Source organism: Homo sapiens, chromosome 1, assembly GCF_000001405.40.
Source record: "Homo sapiens chromosome 1, GRCh38.p14 Primary Assembly".
Classification (NCBI taxonomy): domain Eukaryota; kingdom Metazoa; phylum Chordata; class Mammalia; order Primates; family Hominidae; genus Homo; species Homo sapiens.
Window position 1 is genome coordinate 89,932,247 of NC_000001.11, and position 16,051 is coordinate 89,948,297.

At 41.7% G+C, this 16,051-nt stretch overlaps 1 protein-coding gene across 13 annotated transcripts in view, besides 1 other annotated feature; it reads left to right on the forward strand.

Moving 5' to 3' along the window:
* LRRC8D (leucine rich repeat containing 8 VRAC subunit D) overlaps positions 1-4,365 on the forward strand; it is a 115,580-nt gene extending 111,215 nt beyond the window's left edge. For all 13 annotated transcript variants that reach the window (XM_047423953.1, XM_047423956.1, XM_047423947.1 and 10 more), the window contains one exon: positions 821-4,365. In XM_047423953.1, coding sequence (XP_047279909.1) covers positions 823-3,399 — 2,577 coding nt within the window. In that variant the 5' untranslated portion in view covers positions 821-822 and the 3' untranslated portion in view covers positions 3,400-4,365. The remainder of the gene's footprint in view (positions 1-820) is intronic.
* Positions 558-1,160: an enhancer, noted in NCBI's record as "OCT4-NANOG-H3K27ac hESC enhancer chr1:90398363-90398965 (GRCh37/hg19 assembly coordinates)". NCBI's record gives its function as "activates a minimal SCP1, AML or CMV promoter by ChIP-STARR-seq in primed H9 embryonic stem cells {active_cell/tissue: H9 hESC(primed)}" and the evidence as "EXISTENCE:reporter gene assay evidence [ECO:0000049][PMID:30033119]".
* Positions 4,366-16,051: the final 11,686 nt, after the last annotated feature.

The following is a 16,051-nucleotide window of genomic DNA, read 5'->3' on the forward strand; positions in this document are numbered from 1 at the left end:
ACTTATTCAGCATCACCATCATTGATTATTTCATGGCCACCTGAGTCTTGAGCTGTCTTCTCAATCCACATGCTTTCCATAGGACTGCATCAAAGGCCAGAGTTTCAGCTATATATATTGATAAATCCCAAGTGTGTATAGTAAGACTCCTCCTAAACGCTAGACCCTTAGTTTCAACTGTTCATGGACACTTCCACCAGAGTGATTGGAGCTAACGTAAACAGCTAACAAACACTTGTGGCCAGAGGATGTGCTAAGAGCGTTACAATCATTACTTAATTTAACCTTTCCAACAACCCTTAGAAGTTTTCATCCCTATTATACAGATGGGAAATACACAAGGCTTAAGGAATCAACCATTAGTAAGTGTTAGAACTAAGTCTGGAACATAAGACTATCCAAAGTTTAACGGTATTTAATGGTATACACAGACCTTTCAATTTTGGCTTATACAAAATAAGAGTCATCCCACTCCTTGACCTCCAAATTTCAGTCTTAACCTTTAATGAGTCCACAACAAATGCCATCCTGCTGTCATACCCTCCTTCAAGGTCCACTAAGTAACCACTATGGACTTGGTGCAGTCTGTCATAATTTCTTACCTAGAATGCAATTCTTACTCATTCTTTCCCTCTTCCCTTGCACTAGGAGAGAAAAGCTGTATATTCCCCTTTTAGTTTATTTTCTACTACATTTATATTGGATAAAAAGATAGGACCTGAATGAGAAAACTTTAGTTAGGAGCAGGCATAGGGTTTTTCTCATTTACTCTTTTCATTTGCATCTCTAGAATAATGTCTTTTGTCTTCTTGTTTTCTAGGAATGTTTACCCTTGCGGAAGTTGCATCACTTAATGACATTCAGCCAACTTACCGAATCCTGAAACCATGGTGGGATGTGTTTATGGATTACCTAGCTGTTGTTATGTTAATGGTAGCCATCTTTGCAGGAACCATGCAACTTACCAAAGATCAGGTGGTCTGTTTGCCAGTATTGCCATCTCCTGTAAATTCAAAGGCACATACACCACCAGGAAATGCCGAGGTCACCACCAACATCCCAAAGATGGAAGCAGCCACCAACCAAGACCAAGATGGGCGGACAACAAACGACATTTCCTTTGGGACATCTGCTGTGACACCTGACATACCTCTCAGAGCCACATATCCTCGCACAGATTTCGCACTTCCAAATCAGGAGGCAAAGAAAGAGAAGAAAGATCCAACAGGTCGAAAAACAAACTTGGATTTTCAGCAATATGTATTTATTAATCAAATGTGTTACCATCTGGCCCTTCCGTGGTATTCTAAGTACTTTCCATACCTAGCTCTTATACATACTATTATTCTCATGGTCAGTAGCAACTTTTGGTTCAAATATCCCAAAACATGCTCAAAAGTAGAACATTTTGTTTCAATATTAGGAAAGTGCTTTGAATCCCCTTGGACGACAAAAGCGTTGTCTGAGACAGCATGCGAAGACTCAGAGGAAAACAAGCAGAGAATAACAGGTGCCCAGACTCTACCAAAGCATGTTTCTACCAGCAGTGATGAAGGGAGCCCCAGTGCCAGTACACCAATGATCAATAAAACTGGCTTTAAATTTTCAGCTGAGAAGCCTGTGATTGAAGTTCCCAGCATGACAATCCTGGATAAAAAGGATGGAGAGCAGGCCAAAGCCCTGTTTGAGAAAGTGAGGAAGTTCCGTGCCCATGTGGAAGATAGTGACTTGATCTATAAACTCTATGTGGTCCAAACAGTTATCAAAACAGCCAAGTTCATTTTTATTCTCTGCTATACAGCGAACTTTGTCAACGCAATCAGCTTTGAACACGTCTGCAAGCCCAAAGTTGAGCATCTGATTGGTTATGAGGTATTTGAGTGCACCCACAATATGGCTTACATGTTGAAAAAGCTTCTCATCAGTTACATATCCATTATTTGTGTTTATGGCTTTATCTGCCTCTACACTCTCTTCTGGTTATTCAGGATACCTTTGAAGGAATATTCTTTCGAAAAAGTCAGAGAAGAGAGCAGTTTTAGTGACATTCCAGATGTCAAAAACGATTTTGCGTTCCTTCTTCACATGGTAGACCAGTATGACCAGCTATATTCCAAGCGTTTTGGTGTGTTCTTGTCAGAAGTTAGTGAAAATAAACTTAGGGAAATTAGTTTGAACCATGAGTGGACATTTGAAAAACTCAGGCAGCACATTTCACGCAACGCCCAGGACAAGCAGGAGTTGCATCTGTTCATGCTGTCGGGGGTGCCCGATGCTGTCTTTGACCTCACAGACCTGGATGTGCTAAAGCTTGAACTAATTCCAGAAGCTAAAATTCCTGCTAAGATTTCTCAAATGACTAACCTCCAAGAGCTCCACCTCTGCCACTGCCCTGCAAAAGTTGAACAGACTGCTTTTAGCTTTCTTCGCGATCACTTGAGATGCCTTCACGTGAAGTTCACTGATGTGGCTGAAATTCCTGCCTGGGTGTATTTGCTCAAAAACCTTCGAGAGTTGTACTTAATAGGCAATTTGAACTCTGAAAACAATAAGATGATAGGACTTGAATCTCTCCGAGAGTTGCGGCACCTTAAGATTCTCCACGTGAAGAGCAATTTGACCAAAGTTCCCTCCAACATTACAGATGTGGCTCCACATCTTACAAAGTTAGTCATTCATAATGACGGCACTAAACTCTTGGTACTGAACAGCCTTAAGAAAATGATGAATGTCGCTGAGCTGGAACTCCAGAACTGTGAGCTAGAGAGAATCCCACATGCTATTTTCAGCCTCTCTAATTTACAGGAACTGGATTTAAAGTCCAATAACATTCGCACAATTGAGGAAATCATCAGTTTCCAGCATTTAAAACGACTGACTTGTTTAAAATTATGGCATAACAAAATTGTTACTATTCCTCCCTCTATTACCCATGTCAAAAACTTGGAGTCACTTTATTTCTCTAACAACAAGCTCGAATCCTTACCAGTGGCAGTATTTAGTTTACAGAAACTCAGATGCTTAGATGTGAGCTACAACAACATTTCAATGATTCCAATAGAAATAGGATTGCTTCAGAACCTGCAGCATTTGCATATCACTGGGAACAAAGTGGACATTCTGCCAAAACAATTGTTTAAATGCATAAAGTTGAGGACTTTGAATCTGGGACAGAACTGCATCACCTCACTCCCAGAGAAAGTTGGTCAGCTCTCCCAGCTCACTCAGCTGGAGCTGAAGGGGAACTGCTTGGACCGCCTGCCAGCCCAGCTGGGCCAGTGTCGGATGCTCAAGAAAAGCGGGCTTGTTGTGGAAGATCACCTTTTTGATACCCTGCCACTCGAAGTCAAAGAGGCATTGAATCAAGACATAAATATTCCCTTTGCAAATGGGATTTAAACTAAGATAATATATGCACAGTGATGTGCAGGAACAACTTCCTAGATTGCAAGTGCTCACGTACAAGTTATTACAAGATAATGCATTTTAGGAGTAGATACATCTTTTAAAATAAAACAGAGAGGATGCATAGAAGGCTGATAGAAGACATAACTGAATGTTCAATGTTTGTAGGGTTTTAAGTCATTCATTTCCAAATCATTTTTTTTTTTCTTTTGGGGAAAGGGAAGGAAAAATTATAATCACTAATCTTGGTTCTTTTTAAATTGTTTGTAACTTGGATGCTGCCGCTACTGAATGTTTACAAATTGCTTGCCTGCTAAAGTAAATGATTAAATTGACATTTTCTTACTATATCACCTTTTTTGAGGGGTCTTAATTTACTTTGCTTAATTGGTGCAATATTGCTTTAACTCCGTTCACTAAAGACAAACACATCAAGTCCAAACTTGTAAATTTAGATTTGCTGAAATACTGATTTATTTCCTGTTTTAATTTAAAGTGCCTCAAGTAAGCACCTCTCACAACAGTTGACTGGTACTGCTGCTCCTGAGCACCTCGTGTCATAGATTTTATACTCTTACAGACTTGGAATGCAGTAGAGGTATGTGGATTTTTAGGGGTTTTGTTTTTTTAAGAATAAGTAACAAGAAATAACACATTTCTTAATAATAGCTTTTTTGACATAGTTTGGAGTTCTGATTATATGGTACATTTTTCTACCAGTAATATAGGGTTGCCAATAAATAGAAAATGTTTTCTAAAAATAAATTTTATTACAACAAAATAAAAATTTTAATGACTTATTAACACAACCTCCAGTATCACCACCATTTGGAAGATAACACAGAATCACAAGTATCATTTAATTTCTTGCCCTTTTCAGTGTTGTTCTGGTGTTGGTGGGAAAATAATAGGAAATGTAGTTCATTGGGTAGGGAAACTCTTACCTTTCCCTATCTTAATGACAAGCTGTATTTTCTGTGTTTTTGTGCAGCTAGGCGTCATAGCCAGACAAATCCTAGGAGAATACACTTTTTAGATAATGATTTCCTTCATTATCTAACTGACCAGTATCTAATCAATCTCAGAAAAATCCAAAAAATTCCCTGCCACCTGTTTAGATATTAGTTGGCAGATGTTTCATAGGCCTTCTACAGGACTCTTCAAGAGAATAGAACAGTTTGGCACTCTGACAAAGTAGTGTCCTCTCGCTACAAAACTGGACTCACTTAAACACTGGACTTTTGTCACTTCTAAGCACAGCTTGAAGGATTTTGCTGATAATGGGCAAAGATGGACTCATATCTTTGCTTTCCTCCCCAGAACTGAACTCTGGGAGTCCTGGTCTGTGGCCAATGGAGGTGAATCTTTGCCTGCCATAGAGCCTGTGAATGCTCTGAGAAGTATTATCACAAATAGAAAAGGCTGCATCCCCTGTAGCTGAGTCAGGAATTGACGCTGGCTCTGGCACCCTGGCCATTCCTTCTCCTCCTCAAAGGCTTGAGGTAGGGGACTAGCTTATTAAACATTTTTAAGCTTAAGTTTGAATAATCAGACAAAAAGCAGTGGCATATTTTCAGTACAGCAAATTCTTTTCTATGCATCTTCCAGTTGTCTCAGCATTCATTAATGTATTCACTAGTGTTAATGATGTACCCTGGTGCCTATCTAATACAAGGAAGTAGGGATTCAGTGTTGGAATAAGTTCTGGCTACATGGAGGTTTATATAGCAAAGTAGAGAGATAAATATTAATTATGTAAATAATAGAAGTGTTTAATTACAATTATAGATGGTGTAGGTCAGGTGCAGTGGCTCACACCTATAATCCCAGCACTTTGAGAGGCTGAGGCAGGAGGATGGCTTGAGCCTGGGAGTTTGAGACCAGCCTGGGCAACATAGCAAGACCCCATCTCTACAAAAAATTTTAAAAATTAGCTGGGCATGTTAGCATGCACTTGTAGTCCCAGCTACTTGGGAGGCTGAGGTGGGAGGATCACTTGGGCTCAGGAGTATGAGGCTGCAGTGAGTTATGATTGTGCCATTGTACTCCAACCTGGTGACAGAGCAAGACCTTGCCTCAAACAAACAAAAAGTGTACAAAATCTGTGTAAATGAATAATGGCAGGGGTGGAGTGAACTTAAAGAAGAGCTTCAGGGAAGTTTTGTAGTTGTAAACGGTCCTGAACATTTCCCTTCCACCAGCCTTGTAGGGCACTGTTCTCCCTGCTTGGTAATGCCACCACCTGAAATTAGCACAGTATTTTTAGAAGGATGCCACTCCATCTTAGTTGTGAGATAAGGAGTCCAGATCTTAGGATCTTTGCTTTTAGGACTGGAAAACTTGTCTTCCCTTTTTTAAACAAAACAAAACAAAACACCTTATTGAAGTATAATTGGCATATAGAAGGCCCTACATCTGTAAGGCCTTTACATATGTACCTTAAATATGGTAGCAAACTACATCTCAATGAGCTGCCTTTCTTAAAACAAGTGTATGTTGTTTTTGAAGGGCAGGGGTGGCAGGATGCCACAGTTCACTTTGCTTTTCAGAGAAGAGCCATTCTGTAGGAACCACAATCTATGAGATAATCCCTAAGTTTGGCCACTGGCAGCCCTGCCCATAGGCTCCTGTTTCCTAAACACTACTTGGGGTTCAGTCACTTAGAACTGGTTGGTGTTAGATGCCTTCAAACAGTATCAAGGGGTACCTCTTTTACCCAAATTTCTGTTGACTATCAGCCCTTACTAATTTCCTTGAACTCTGAAAAGTTCACGGTCAGTTGGTTTAAATGTCACATTCCATACCACTGTTTGCAAATAGGAATACTCAGAGAGTTCCTGAGAAATGCTGACTCATGCAACAGACTTTAAATATACTGGGTTTTGACACCTCAACAACAGAAAAAGAGTTGTGGGCCCAAATAGACTGTCAACCTATGTGTCCTCGTGAATTTATGTTGGCATCGCATGGACCAGACATGGGAGAAAAACAAGTTAGTATGTATAAGCTTTGGCTTAATATTTTCATATCTTTCTACGAAGTCCGTTGAGCACCAATCTGAAGAAGAGTATTTAAAGTCTGTTTTTAAATATGCCATGTCTGGGTGAGTCTCTCAAAGTCTGAAAGAACTTGGTTTCCTTGTGGCTGTTTAATTTTTTCTCACTAGCAGTTAGTTGGCGTGACAGGATTGGCTCTTTCAAGGGTTCAGAAAGATGAGCCAAAATTGTCACAGGGACCTCATTCTTAGTAGTACAGATTTAGTAATTTAATAGTAGGCAGGAAGAGTTCATTCTATAATTCATGGCCAGCAAAGTCCTGACTGTTTGACATTTTTTTAATATAAAGAAAGAAAGCATATTCTTTCTTAATCCGTAATACTTTCTCTGTCTCCCCTGGTCTCTACTTCAACCAGTAACCAAAACTCTATAAGTTGCTGATGGCAGCAAACTCCAAAGTGCCCTTGAGGCCAACGCCCAATAGTTATTTCCATTCACCTTGTTGAATAAAAGCCAGAGTGCTGTCCTCTCGCTAAGATTTCTGCCAGCACTTGCGTCAGTAATTCATTCCAATAAAATGGTCCCTTTATCAACTGAATCCCCAAACAAAGGCTGTACTAACAAAAAGCTCCTTTCATGAAAAAAAGAAGGGGGGAAAAAAGAGCAAGCCCCTGGAAACCAGTTTTCAAAAGTCCTCTAACTTGTGACTGCAACACGAAGAAGTGGCCCCCTCTGATCCTGGCCAGCTGCGGCTCTCTTAAAGGCTCCGGGTATTCAAGGCGGTATCCACTGGGGCACAGGGAAGGCTGAAGCCAAGGGGGCAGAAGGGCAGCAGGCCAGGAACCATCTGCCTCTCAGGCCTGGCCTAGCCTATCCTGGGGTGACAGTCACAGCTGAAATCATGGAAATAAGTCCCTTCACTCACAAAGCCAATAGCAGATGTCCATTCTTCATCCTTGTGTCTCTGGACATAAAATGTATAAACTGTTCCAGGTAAGCATCACCTTTCTTGTGGAAATTCATGGGATTATTTGCTGAGAGTTAATCCTGAAAAGTTTCATCCCATAGTCTCATCCACCCCCTCCTACTGCTGTGGGACCCCTGATGGTAGAAACTTCCCCAGCCCCACCTACTGCCACTGTAAGCTGTCCTTCCTTCACTCCTAAGATTCCAGGCTCTGGAGTGACAGTGCCTGGATTTGCATCCTGCCTTGGCCCCAGCTGTGTGACTGTGCGGAAGCTACTTACCTAAGCCTCAGTTTTTTTACTGTAAATGGGAATAGTCATAATGCCTACCAAATGGGTTTTATTGTGTGTGACAATTGAATGAGGCGATTCATTTGAGGCACTGTGCCTGGCAGATAGTAAGTACGCAATAATACTATTGTTACTTTTATCCCCAGAGACTGTTGGCCTTCCCTAATATGCATTGTCTCCTTCCTTGGTAATGGAATTTTCAGTGGACACCTGGAACACAATAAAATGTGTATTTTTAAAAGCCAGGCAGTGGTGCATGCCTGTAGTCCCAGCAACTGTGAAGACTGAAGCAGGAAGATCACTTGAGCCCAGGTGTTCCAGTCCAGCTTGGGCAACACAGCAAGACCCTGATTCTTTTTAGAAAACAAAACAGGCCAGGCATGGTAGCTCACACCTGTAATCCCAGCACTTCACGGGCCAAGGCGAGTGGATCGCTTGAGGCCGGGAATTCGAGACCAGCCTAGCCAACATGGCAAAACCCTGTCTCTACCAAAAATAACAAAAATTAGCTGGCGCAGTGGTGCATGCCTGTAGTCCCAGCTACTCAGGAGGCTGAGGCAGGAGGATCACTTGAGCCCAGGAGGTAGAGGTTTCAGTGAGCAGAGATGGGGCCACTGCACTCCAGCCTGGGTGACAGAGCAAGACCTTGTCTCAAAAAAACAAAATGAAAACTATTTTCCAGCCTTCCTTGGGGCTAGATGTGCCATGGGGCTAGGATTTAGTTAAATTCTAGCCAAAGGAGTGGGAATGTAAGTGGAATGTGGGATTTCTGGATTAGGACCTTAAAGGAAGGGCATATCCTTTCCCATTCCTGCTGCTTAAATTGCACATATAGAAATAAGCCCAATTTAGATTGTGCAGATCAGGGCAACAAATCAGATGTGGCACAGAAGCACAGTAAAAGTCTGGGCCCCTGGTGACCTCAAGAAACAGGGTCATATAAAGGAGAAATAAATCTCTGTCCTGTTTAAGCCACAATTTGGGGGCTCTGATAGATGGAACAAATCCTGAAGACCTTGCTACTCAAACCCGTGGCTGGACAGCCATAGCAGCACTGGGGGCTTGTTAGAAATGCAGAATGTCAGATTCCTTTCCAGACTGATTGATTGAATCAAAATCTATGTTTTAACAGGTTGGTGTCCAGGTGATGTATAGGCAAATTAAAGTCTGAGAAGCATTGTCCTAAATAACACACCTACGAAAAACAAATCAGTCATCAGAAATGGTGTTTCTTCCCCCACTGGGTTATGCCTCTCCCATCAGCCTTCTGCTGGGTTCTAGTGGGAGAGGCAGGAATTGGGGATTTTGTTGGTGCTTGTGGCTTAGACCAACTTCCACATCCCCATTTGCTCTTGCTAGCAGCCATGCTTTTCATGTCACCATAGCAACTACAGAGCGGGGGGGAAAAAAGTGACAGTCATTGTGGGCTGCTGGAAGAGGTGGTGGCAATATAGGTCATCCTCCCAGTAGTGTGAGGTTTTGAAGGTCTATGACTGCCCCAATGGCATATGCACTTGTGCTAAGCCCTTCATTCATTGACACCCTTCACGTGCCCAGGTAGCTAAACTGTCCCATTCTGTTAATCTTCAGGCTGAGTCTGGCTTAGTTGCTTAAAGTTCAGTCGACCATGGGATAACCTGCGCATTCTGAGCCTTTTCAGAATGCTTCTGGAAAACTGCCAAATAGCCCAGCATGAAAATTAGCTAGAGTAGTTTTAGGGGAAGACCTACTCGAAGGAATCACACAGGTGTTACGCCAAGCTGCATAGATAATGTAAAGAAATACATTTTTTCAATTTGCCATTGAAAAACTATAAGTAATAGCCACATGTTTCAGTACTTTAAAATGAGGTTCTCCACTTTGGGAGGCCGAGGCCGGTGGATCACTTGAGGTCAGGAGTTCGAGACCAGCCTGGCCAACATGGTGAAACCCCGTCTCTACTAAAAATACAAAAATTAGCCAGGCATGGTGGTGCATGCCTGTAATCCCAGCTACTCAGGAGGCTGAGGCAGGAAAATCACTTGAACCCAGGAGGCAGAGGTTACAGTGAGCCAAGATTGCACCATTGCACTCCAGCCTGGGCGACAGAGCCAGACTCTGGTTAAAAAATACATACATACATAAAAATAAAAAAAAAAATGAAATGAAGTTCTGCCTGAATGAAAACTTCAAGATGTATCTCCAAGGGTTTAACCCAAGTATTTCCTGCAGCTTAGGCCTGTTACCTATCCGGCTTTGGTTATGATGGAAACATCTGGTTACTCTCCTGATGATAACCCTTCATCTTCCTGAAGATGGTGTTTAAATCACTCATCATCTCCACTTCCCAGAATGTTGTGAAGATTATGTCAGCATGGTGCCTAGCACTCCCTGGAGATAAATGTGCATAATCAAGAGTTTGCTATTAATTTATCATCATGGTAGGAAATTCAGTAAAGAGAACATTTTCATCTTTGCCTTAGAAGTAGCTGACACATGAATTCAAGTCTACACCTTCCACGTATCAATCCTAAGTAACTGCTGTTCTTTAGGGGATTGATTATATGTTTTCAAGTTTCCATTTCTGAAGATAGAAGATGGTATTAGAAGTGAATTGGGCTGGGTACAGTAGCTCAGACCTGTAATCCCAGCACTTTGGGAGGCCAAGACAGGCAGATCACCTGGGGTCAGGAGTTTGACCAGCCTGGCCAACATGGCAAAACCCCATCTCTATTAAAAGTCCAAAATTTAGCCGGGCATTGTGGTGCACGCCTGTAGTCCCAGCTACTCAGGAGCCTGAGGCAGGAGAATTGCCTGAACCCAAGTGGCAGAGGTTGCAGTGAGCCAAGATCACACCACTGCACTCCAGCCTGGGCGACTGAGCAAGACTACATCTCAAAAAAAAAAAGTGAATTGGACAATATAAGTAACAATCGTAATGGCTCCGACTGTATGCCAGATGGGCATTTGACTTGTATCACAGACAAACAGGGAAGTGTGAGTTACTTCCATTTTATACATAAACTGTGAAGTTACACAATCTGTCCAAGGTCACCCAGCCATCAGGAGACAGGGGCACTGCTAAATCAGGCAATGTGCATATCTTGTCTCATTGAATCCTCACAAGACCACTAACAGAAAGGCATTGTCCTCATCTAAGAGATAAACAAACCTAGAGAATTTGACCTGTCTCTGTTCTCACATTGTAAATAGCAGTTACTAGTCTCTGACGCAGGCACCCCTACAACCAGAGAGGTGTTGCTTATGCTCTTCCACTCAAATACCCAGCAGATGACTGGTGCTCTGTCAGCAATTCAAAAAGATGTTTTGAAATCTGTATTGACATCCGGTTACATAAATATGCCCCAAGCTAGGATTTTTCTTCATTCTTTAGCCTTAGAGAGAAGTTTTGATGTATCTCAGCATCTGTCCTTAGCATTACAACTTGTTTCCTCTGTTAGGCTGTTGACAGTCATGAAAGGGCAATCCACCCAAGGTAATGTAATTATTTGCCCTCACTAAATGTTAAAAGCATGACCGTCTTTACTCATGGTCATTTACTCAGAAATGAGAAAGCTCTGTCTCAGCTGCTTGATGCAGAGTCAGTGTGGTAGAGAGTGACATTCAACAGATCCAGAAAGGTGGGTGCAGGAAAACACTGTAACATTTGCTAGGCCCTCTGGGCAGATGTGACTTTTCTTTCCAGCATGGCATTTCAAACATGGATTCTTCGGCTGTTCCCAACCCATGCGGCAGCAGGCGCCTGCATCGCCCTGACCTTTATTTTTACTGGATCTTTTCCTTTTTCTGTTGATGGTCACTGTACTCCACCATCTGGGCTGGGACAAGAAATCAAATATTTGTGGTCCACGGGGAGAAAGGACCCAGCTTCACATGGAAGAAACTGCTTAGAATAGAGGAAGAATGAAGAAAGTTGAGGAAAGTAACATTCCCACCCCTGCTGGTACATGTGTACCCTTTCCAGATTTGCATTTCAAAACCTCCAGGAGGTTTCAATTTTTTTTTTTTTTTTTTTTTTTTTGGCCTACCTTCTTCCCTTTCCATTGTAATCTATTCTAATTCCTCACCCCAAATGAGCTCAGTTTGGCAGAGTGAATTTTAAACAAAACATGAATTGTCAGATGAAAAGCATTTGTGTGTGTTTTATATCTTTGACCCCTTGTAAAAGTGAGCAGAGCTTTTACAGGATAATACAGTTTATATACAATCAATATAAGCAGGAGAATCGTGCCATTCACCAGGACTAAAATTACAGTCAGTAGTGACCAAGAAAAGTCTGCTGACGGAGCAATAAGGAGCTCAGAGGAGGCCAGGAAAGATGTTTTAAAATATTGTAAACAGTTATTCTATTATTTACAGAATAAAATTAGCCCAATGACATATTCTAAGTATGGCCTCAGTTCTTCTGCCAGCCAGAGCTAAAGCCATAGCAAATAACACATGTGCTCAATTGCAATGAATTGAGACCTATTGCAGGAGTTGCTTTTGAGAAGATTACAAGAGGTTCTAAGTTGGTTCTACTCATACTGAGTTTTTAGTTGCTAAAATCCTCCTCATTATATGAAACTAAGTTAATTTTCTTAGCCTAAGACTTAACTCCCTCTGTATAAAAAGCCTCCTGCCAGCAGCGTGACCACCTACTCTGTCGTTAGAGCTGGGAAGCTGCAGAATATGGTGGTTAGAGTTTAAGCTACTGGAACTGCCTCCTTAAAGGCAAGTTACTTAACAGGGGTGTGTTTTTGCTTTCTCATCTGTGAAAAGGGGTTAATGATAATATTTACCTTGCAGCATAGCTGTGTAGATTAAATGAGTTAACACATGAATTGCTTAGGACAATGCCTGGCATGTTGAATGTTTAATACATTTAAGTGGTTTTCGTTAATAATATTTCTATAATATTTGAGAGATGTATCCATCATTTAAGCCTGGAAAATAAAGCTATTCAAATGCAAGATTATACAAGAGATAAGGAAATGGACACTGCCCAAGTAAGAACTAATTTTGCCTTTCTCTCAAAAGACAGCAAAGACAAGTCACTGGTGATTTAATATCTCACAGACATCTTTTCATACATGTATTACTTTGTGTATTTTGCTTAGCAAATCAGGGGATTCAGACATTGTAATACCAAGAACCCTCTTGGGTTGCCTATGATTCTTTGTAAGTAAGTTCTCTGAACTTGGGTCAGACCCAGTGACCTACTGGCGAAAGACCTGAAGACAGATTTTCAAATAGCTGCAAGGAACTCTGACTTGGGGTAATTTATTGAGTCTTTGTCTTAGCCTTCTTGGTGTTGCTATAACAGAACACCAAAGACTGGGTAATTTATGAAGAAATTTACTTTTCACAGTTCTGGAGGCTGGGAAGTCCAATATCAAAGTGCCTGCAGCAAGGACCTTCGTGCTGCATCATCCCATGGCAGGAGACAGAAGCGCAAGAGAGCAGGAGAGCCAGGGCAAGAGAAAGAGGGCTAACCTCATCCTTTTATCAGGAGCCCACTACTGCAACAACAGCATTCAACTGTTCATGAGGGCAGAGCTCCCATGACCCAATCACATCTTAAAGTTTCCACCTCTCAACAACGTTGCATTGGGGATTAAGTTTCCAATACATAAACTTTGGGGTACACATTCAAACCACAGCAGTCCTCAATAAGGAATGTTGACTGTTTTCGTTGGGCAGGGAATAAGGAATTTGCTTCTGGGCTGACCAATATTTTGTATCTCTTTTTTGTTAACTTGAAACTTAGACTGGTCATTGGGACTAAAAGTGTTCTACCTTTTTAGTCTATTAAAAAAGATGAAAATTCATCTCTGTGACCACAGATATTAATAGTTGGTCATTTGCGTTCTTCAGAGGATTCATTTGAAATATACTTATGTTCGTAGTTTTAAAATATATGATCCATAAAAGCCCAAGTTTACAGAACAGATGACTAAGGGTATGATTTTCAAAACGAAAATAATCTTTTCTTCTATTCATCAGGGTCAGCTCCTCTAGAACTTAGAAAAAAAATGGTTATATACAATGTTTAGGAAATGAAACCATTGGTCACAGCAAAGCATACTTGCAGCACTTTTAGAATGAGCACTTTAGACAGAATGCTCATTTTAAAAGTACTGTACAGCCAGGTGTAGTGACTCACGCCTGTAATCCTAATGCTTTGGGAGGCCGAGGCAGATGAGTCATTTGAGCCCAGGAGTTTGAGACCAATCTGGGCAACATGGTGAAACCCCATCTCTACAAAAAATAATTTAAGAAACACTAGCTGAGCGCAGTGGTGTGCGCCTGTTGTCCCAGCTACTCAGGAGGCTGAGGTTGGAGGGTTACTTGAGCCCAGGAGGTTGAGGCTGCAATGAGCCAAGATTGCACCACTGCATTCTAGCCTGGGTAACAAAGAGAGACACTATAAGTAAGTCTATGGCATTTTCTGATGGCAGCCTGGGCCTACTAATACAGAAGACATACTGAAGTTTATCTGAAGTTGCAAAGGCAAGCTGGAATGCTGTGATACTGGAGCACAGTAAATGAGGACAGAATTGAAGGACTTGGGGTCAGAGATATAGAGTGGTAAGTAAATTTAAAAACAAACAAAAAACCAAAAAGAAACAATCCATCCAGGCTTGCATTGAGCATCTTTAACCATTCCTCCCTCTCTTTGTCTACTAAGGAAGGATGAAAGAAAGTGCTTAATCACCAGCTCTTTGTCGTTGGAACTGAGAAGCTGCAGAATATAGTGGCTGCTGGAACTGCCTCCTCAAAGGCATGTTACCTAACATGAGCCTTAGCTTCTGCTTCCTCATCTGTGAAATGGGGTTAATGATGATACTTTCCTTGTAGCACAGCTGTGTAGATTAAATGAGTAAACACATATAAAGTTACAAGATAACACAACTCATATAACCTTCCCATTGCAATGTTAACACTTCCAGTTACAATCCACAGTTAGATATAAACAATGATGAGATATAAAGGATTATCTGGGAAACTGTGAGATCTCAACTTTACTTGAAGATTCAGTTCAATCTGTTGCATTTTTAAACCTAGTAACAGACCATGAGGTATGCAGGACTTAAATAGAGCAGACTTTTGCTGTTTTATTATATTAAATATCAACCCTCCACTCCACTAACTCTTTGTTTTAAAAAAAGCCCTTTAGAATTCAGTTGTATCAAAAAAAAAAAAGGTGGGGCGGGGGGGCTGGAAATGGGGAAACTGGGAAAGCAGAATAAGGGGAATGGTCAAGCCAGTCATTTCTTCAAGACATATTAATCGAGCTCTTACTTCGTATAAGCCAGGCAACATGCTAGATTCTGGGGTAAATCAGATGTATTTGATCCCTACCAAGAAATGATTCAATCCATGCTTTGTTTTCTGTTCTTGCCCCTACCCCTTACTCCCTTCCCCCATCTGTTGTCAGGTGCCATTCTGCAGAGGTGCAATTAAGAGTGAGAGTTAGCCTGGCTAACATGGTGAAACCTCGTCTCTACTAAAAATATAAAAATTAGCCAGGCGTGATGGCGTGCACCTGTAATCCCAGCTACTTGGGAGTCCAAGGCAGGAGAATTGTATGAGCCCAGGAGAGGAGGTTGCGGTGAGCTGAGATTGCACCACTGCTCTCTAGCTCGGGTGACAGAATGAGACCCTGTCTCAAAAAAAAAAAAAAAAAAAAAAGTGGGAGTGCATTGCAAAGAATACAACAAGTATCTAGGTTCTCAACTAATTCCAAGATGGTGGCCTTTGGGGACTTGTACTTCTAGTCAGCTACAATCTCTTCTTCCCACCCTTTTATTTTTTTCTCCCTCTTCTCCCTTTCCTTTGTATCCCACAAGTTAACATTAAAGGTCCCATTCTTTTTTTTTTTTTTTTTTTTTGAGACGGAGTCTCGCTCTGTGGCCCAGGCTGGAGTGCAGTGGCGGCAATCTCGGCTCACTGCAAGCTCCGCCTCCCGGGTTCACGCCATTCTCCTGCCTCAGCCTCCTCAGTAGCTGGCACTACAGGCGCCCGCCACCATGCCTGGCTAATTTTTTCGTATTTTTTAGTAGAGACGGGGTTTCACCGTTTTAGCCAGGATGGTCTCAATGTCCTGACCTTGTGATCCGCCCGCCTCAGCCTCCCAATGCTGGGATTACAGGCATGAGCCACCGCGCCCGGCCTAAAGTTGCCATTCTTATGTAGCCTTCTAAGTGTCCTGATGTTTCCTGATTACAAAAGTAACACATGTTCATTGTTAAACAAAAGTAATGTATTGCAGAAATGCATGTCCTTTGAAAATATGTCACTCCACCCCTCAAAACTCCTCATTGACTTTTAACTCAAAGAGTAAAAGGCAGATGGCCTGTCGATTTGCACCCCACCTTACTTCTCTGACCCCATGTCCTCCAATTCTGTTGT